The sequence below is a fragment of the Homo sapiens genome, chromosome X, assembly GCF_000001405.40.
Source record: "Homo sapiens chromosome X, GRCh38.p14 Primary Assembly".
Lineage (NCBI taxonomy): Eukaryota > Metazoa > Chordata > Mammalia > Primates > Hominidae > Homo > Homo sapiens.
This window is the reverse complement of record NC_000023.11, coordinates 88,239,633-88,246,419: the sequence shown is the minus strand read 5'-3', so window position 1 is coordinate 88,246,419 and position 6,787 is coordinate 88,239,633. Positions and strand designations below refer to the sequence as shown.

Below are 6,787 nucleotides of genomic sequence, written 5' to 3'. Positions count from 1 at the left end.
GTGGAATGGTATCTGACCATAAAGAAGAATGAAGTACTAAATCATGAAGTATAAATCATGAATGAACCTTGAAAACATTATGCTAAGTGAAAGAGTAAGAAAAGCCAGTCACAAAAGACCACAAATTATATGATTCAATTTATATAAAACTTTCAGTATAGGGAAATTTATAGAGATCATCTCCCCATCTCAAAGTCAATAACCTTAATCACATCTTCAGAGTTCCAGTGGGTCTAGTGGGAGGGTGGGTCCAGTGGGAGGGTAGGTCCAGTGTAATTACATGAACTCTTAAAAGCAAAAAAAAATTAAAAAGGCAAAAGAGAGGGTCAGAGAGATAAGACAGAAAGATGAGAGATTCACAGTGTAAGAAGACTTGTCCATCATTGTTTGCTTTGAATATGGTGGAAGGGAATAAAGAGCTAAGGAACACAAATGGCCTCTAGAAGCTGGAAACATCTTCAGCCAACAGCCAGCAAGGAAAGGAGGACCTCAGTCCCACAACAGAAAGGATTTGAATTCTGCCAAGAAACTTGGAATAGAATGAATTTGTGTGTCAACCCAGAAGAGTGTCCTTACTGGAACCAAACCATGCTGGCACGTTGATCACTGTCTTCCAGCCTCCAGAAATGTGAGAAATACATTTTTATTGTTTTTAAGCCACCCTATCTACAGTACTTTGTTATGGAAGCCCATACTACGATAAATCTGATTGTACAAGGAATGCATTCTCCCCCAGAGCCACCAGAAAGGAAGGAAGACCTGCTATCATCTAATTTTAGCCCAGAGAGATTCATGTTAGACTTCTTACCTCCAAAACTACGAAATAATACTTTTGTATTGTTTAAGCCAGTAAATTTGTGGCAATTTGTTGTGCAGCAATAAAAAGCTAATGCAGTGTCCATACACTAAAATTACTCACTTTGCAACATATCTGGATCAGAATTTTAAATCAGACTTAGCATTATATTAGTTATTGTACTTCTGTTGTGAAATTCAAACAATGATCCAGGTTCCCAATTTAAATTTCCACTATTTCCAGCAATTTTATCATCAAAATTAACCAAATGAAGCAAAAAGGTAAAAGTGAGAATACAAGAAACGATGTATTCATATATATATATGAAAAGAATATGCTTGGCCAGAGGAAAACATTCGGTTGAGATTACAAATAAACTAGGAATGTTTTGACTACCAACACATGTTGGGATTGAACTTTTAGTGATACATCCCTCTCTCTTTATTGTGATTAGTTCTGTTTAAAATTAATGAGACTTGTCTGTTTATAGCAAGGAGAAAGTAAACCTTCTAGTGATCAATGGTTTAAATCCTTATCTATCCAGGGGATAATTCAGTAGAACTTATTAAATCCGTTAAAATATCCATGGAGAATACTCATATGAATATTTAGCTATGGTGTACTTTAGACCATTAAGAATAGAAAGTACAATGTTATGTTCAGTGCATATCTTCATTTTGAATATTTTACTATGTATTCTTTGTATTCTGCATTAAAGAAAAGCTTCTTAAGAGGAAGATCATCGCATAAAATTAGGCATCATTCTTTGTGATACCTAGGACAATATTTAATTTTAAAAAATGTGTCCTAATTTTCTTTTTTTACTAAATGTTTTAATGTAATGGCAAAGATATTCAAAACTTCTTTCGTAAGTTCTGGAAAAGGATGCTTCTTTCTTTCTTGAGCCTAATGATACTGTTTATAATTCATATAGGCATGCAGTTTATAACATGTTTATGGCTCACTGCCTACATTAGTATTATAATTATATTTCTATTGTGGTTGCCTTTGAAGCCATTACTCACCCATATGGAATAGATATGCCCATTTTATTATCTACCAGAAAATCAAAGTATCTTAACATTTTATAAATGGAGTATTTGTCCTACATTGATTGAGCTAGATTTTTATTGTGTGTAAACTACTCCCAGGGAAAATTCTGGGCATTTTTGGAAGCTGTGTGAACTCTTCCTTGTCACTGGAGTACCACTAGTAAGTTATTGCTTCAGTGGCCTGAAAGAAGTCATTCCTCTTCCAAAATGCCTAATTGACTCTCTGGAGTAGGGCAGGTGGTAGCTGCTCAGTCACTATTGTTTTTCTTATTGTCAATTTCCACTTCAATTGTGAATTTAATGGAAGAACACTAAGTGAGCCAGATTCTCCCAGCATGGGAGCCCATCAAGGCTAACTCAAGCAGTCTTTTGTCTAACTTGAGAATTCAGCCACAGCTTGGTGTTAAGATTGGAGGTAATCATTTAATGACTAAAGAAGTATGGATGGCTCCGAGGTTAAAAGTCAGTACCAAGGGTTTTAATAATTTATCTGACAGTATAAGTCAGATAACATGTTTTAAATGGAGGATATTTTGGCACTAGAGATCTGGAGATCAGAGCTACCAGAAGAACAATGACTGTACAGAAAGAGGATTTTTTAAAATGAAAGTTTGTTTTAAGAATTTCACTGAGTAATCTCTGAAATTGGGTGTTTTTAAAGGAGTTTGAAGAGAATATTCTTTGATGGGACATTAATATAAGGCCACTCTTTAAATAACAACTAAAAGGCAAGCAGGCTTTCCAGACACCAGTAAATCCAACAGGTTCTGCAAAATCACTGCCAAATGTCATCTGACATCTTGTAAAAGCATCTTTTCTTAGCCTATCTACTGTGACTAATATAATAGCACAGTGGTATTATAAACTCATAAATTGTAATTTCTAAGATTCAACCAATACCCAGGGAAATGCATAATAAAGTTATCTTCTTTGCTTTAAATGTTCATATATGTTGTCCTTTTTAGAATTACCTAACAACTGTTGTTTCATAGATACCATTTTATGCAAACTTCTGACAGCTCTAATTTTTTTTGAGTGCTTAAATTATTATGCCATGGTCACCCATCAGTAAAAGTGTAGTTGTCAGAGGCATGTGAACCAGAACAACACCATCTTGAATAGGAGGTGGGTAAAATAAGGCTGAGACTTACTGGACTTCATTCCCAGATGGTTAAGGAATTCTAAGTCACAGGATGAGATAGGAGGTTGGCACAAGATACAGGTCATAAAGACCTTGCTGATAAAACAGATTGCAGTAAAGAAGCTAGGCAAATCCCACTAAAACCAAGATGATCACGAGAGTGACCTCTGGTCATCCTCACTGCTACACTTCCACCAGCACCATGACAGTTTACAAATGCCAGAGAAATGACAGGAAGTTACCCTACATGGTCTAAAAGGGGGGAGGAATGAATAATCCACCCCTCGTTTAGCATATAATCAAGAAATAACCATAAAAATGGGCAACCAGCAGCCCTCGGGGATGCTCTGTCTATGGAGTACCCATTCTTTTATTCCTTTACTTTCCTAATAAACTTGCTTTCATTTTACAGACTTGCCCTGATTTCTTTGGCCACTAGGCTTTCTTTCATTTTGTCTCAGTGTCCTTTCAGCAAGCCCTATTATTTAATTTCTTGTCCACCCAGATATTCCAAGTCCATTTTTTATTTGTTCTGTCCCAGTCCTAGACTCAGTCACTTCTCTAAGGAGCCTTGGTTCCTTGCATTGAATGATGCTATTCAGAACCAGCAATCTTAGCACTAGATTGGCTCATTGCCGCTTGGTTGACATCAATTCTACATTCTCTCAGGTGATGGAGCTAAACCACCCACATGTACATGTATCTCCATTTTGTTTCAGCATCTATCAAACCACATACATGTTAAAAAGGCAATTAGTTTATACTTACACCTCTGATTCTGACCCAATACACATCCAACACTGGGTTTATATTAACTTTCCCTCTTTCTCATTTGTAACTTCTTTCATCAGATAGAAACTCAGCTCTTATTATCGATAATGGATTTACTTATTAGTCCAATCTTAGTATAAATCTAAAGTACTTGTAAAATTGGTAACTCATACCTCTATGAGAAACAAATCTACTAACAATATTGTATAATTTTATGTATAGTTTTCATTGAGTTTTGTTTTCTTTTTGACACAGGGTCTTGCTCTGTCGCTCAGGCTGGAGTACAGTGGTGTGATCATGGCTCACTGCGGCCTTGACCTCCTGGGCTAAAGGAATTCTCCCACCTGTCCAAGTAGCTGGGACTACAGGCACCCACCTCCATGCCTGGCTTTTTATTTTATTTTATTTCATTTGAGTAGAGATGAGGTCTCACTATGTTGTCTGGCTGGTTTCATGTTCCTGAGCTCAAGCAATTCTCCTGTCTCAGCCTCCCCAAGTGCTGGGATTACAGGCGTGAGCCACAGTGCCCAGTATGTTTTTTTGTTTTTTTTTCAATTCAAAACATTGCAGTAATCACTTAAAAACATTGCTTTCCAAATTTAATCAGGTTAATTTTTTTCTCCATTCTCTTCAGTGTACTCATGTTACTTATTTTTAAATGCAATCAGATTCATTTGTTGTTGTTTGCATTCCATTTTAATTTCTCCCACATTCTGGTTAATTTTTAAATTGTTGCATTAGAGCATGTGACATGTTAATATAATTTGAGGAGTAAAAAGACATATAAAAATATGTAATGAGAAAATTCCCTCTCCTTTCTCATCTCTACTACTGGGTTCCAATTATTCATTTATTTCTACCCCCTTCTTACCTACCCTTGTGTAGATGATCAATCTTGTTAGTTTCTCATTTATCCTTTCCAGATTTGTGTTGCTTAAATGAGAAGATTCATGAATTTATAATATACAATTTATAAATTGCATATTTTTAAAACTTATTTTAAGTTCAGGGGTACAAGTGCAAGTTTGTTACATAGGTAAGCTTGTGTCATGGGGGTTTGTTGTACAGATTATTTCATCACCCAGGTATTAAGCCTAGTACCCTTTAGTTATTTTTCCTGATCCTCTCCCTCGTCCAACCCTGCACCCTCCAAAAGGCCCCTGTGTGTCCTGTTCTCCTCTATGTGTCCATGTGTTCTCATCATTTAGCTCCCATGGAGAAGTGAGAACATGCAGTATTTGGTTTTCTATTCCTGTGTTAGTTTGCTAAGGATAATGTGCCCCAGCTCCATCCATGTCCCTGTGAAGTACATGAGCTGGTTCTTTTTTATGACTGCATAGTATTCCATGGTATATATGTGCCACATTTTCTTTATCCAGTCTATCACTGATGGGCATCTAGGTTGATTCCATATTGCATATTTTAAATACTCTTTTGCATATTATACTTCATATTATAAATACTCTTTTTATCTTGCTTGTTAAAAATTTACATATAACAGTATGTTCTGGAAAGCACTATAAGTCAGTTCATTGAGTTCGTGCTTCTTCAGTTTTTTAGCTACATAAGGCTGCATTTCAGAATGTATCATTGTTCAACCATTCTTCTACATATGGACACTTAAGTTGTTTCCATTATTTTGGAAACATAGACAATGAGGCAATAAATAACCTTGTGTATGTATATTTTTTGTATTGTTGGAGGTTTATCTTCAGAGTAAATTTCTAGAAATGAGATTGCAGTTTCAAAGGTTTAAGTTCATACTCTGTATGGTTGTGGTTGGCTGAATAATAGTCCCTTAAAAGACACTCATGTCCTAATCTCAGAACATTTAATTCTTACCTTCTATGTAAAAGGAGCCTTGCAAATGTGATTACATTAAGGACCATGAGATTATGTTGAATTATCTAGGTTGGCCTGATGTAATTACAAAGTTCTTATCAGAGAGAGGTAGAAGATCAGAGTGAGCAGAAATAGATGAGATGATGGAAACAGAAGGTTAAAGCGGTATGAGGAAGGAACTACAAGCAAAGGAATGCACATGTCACTTTCAGCAAGGAAAATGGCAAGGAAACAGAGTTTCTTTTGAAGGCTGCAAAAGAAACAAGCCCTGTTAAAAATTTGATTTTAGTCCAATAAAACTGATTTGGATGTCTGATTTCCAGGAAGTAATATTTTGTTGTTCTAAAACAAATTGAAGGTAATTTATTACAACAGCCAATAGAAAACCAATACAATAGTTTTGCTAGATTTTCTTCCAAGAAGAAATGTACCAATTTACATTATCACAAGGAATGCAAGAGAGTGCCTATTTCCCTACAAATTTGCCAATGGAATGTGCTTTCATACTTCTAAACTTTTGCCAGTCTGATAAGTGAGAAATGTTTTTTCAGAGTTGTTTTAATTGTATTTTGCTAATTACTATTGGCTTTGAACATTTTTATTTCATGTTTTAGAGCTATATTTTATATGTTTGAGTGAATTATCTGCCTATGTTTTTTCTCAATTTTCTGTCAGAATTTTAGTTCTTCATACCTGAAATTTTAAGAGTTCTTCATTAGCGATAAAAGCCTTTTGTATTATATGTTACTAATATTCTCTCTGTTTATCTGTTGTCTGGAAACTCTGTTTATGGCATGTCTCTCATGCATTTTCTTTCCTTTTAGTTAATTCATCTATATTTTATTAATGTTTCCAGATTTTGAGTTATAGTTAGAAAGACATTTCCTATGCCAAAGTTAAAGACTTCATTTATATAAAAATAGTTTTAATCACGTGATGCTACAATAAAAATGAGAAAATGTGGCAAACACCAACATATTTTGCCAATCAAAATGAGTCTTGTTGTTCCTCTATTCACCTTGCTTTTGCAATCAATTTTCATCCTTACCAGGTATAATTACACTGTGTTTATCATTACTATTCTGAATAAGAATACTGAAGTATTTCAAAATTGTATTATTAAAATATTGCTTCTTAAATGAACTTATCTCAATATTATCTTGCTTAAGACAAGCCTGGGATGGA

At 34.9% G+C, this 6,787-nt stretch overlaps 1 annotated feature.

Moving 5' to 3' along the window:
- Positions 1,749 to 2,584: an enhancer, noted in NCBI's record as "OCT4-NANOG hESC enhancer chrX:87498837-87499672 (GRCh37/hg19 assembly coordinates)". NCBI's record gives its function as "activates a minimal SCP1, AML or CMV promoter by ChIP-STARR-seq in naive H9 embryonic stem cells {active_cell/tissue: H9 hESC(naive)}" and the evidence as "EXISTENCE:reporter gene assay evidence [ECO:0000049][PMID:30033119]".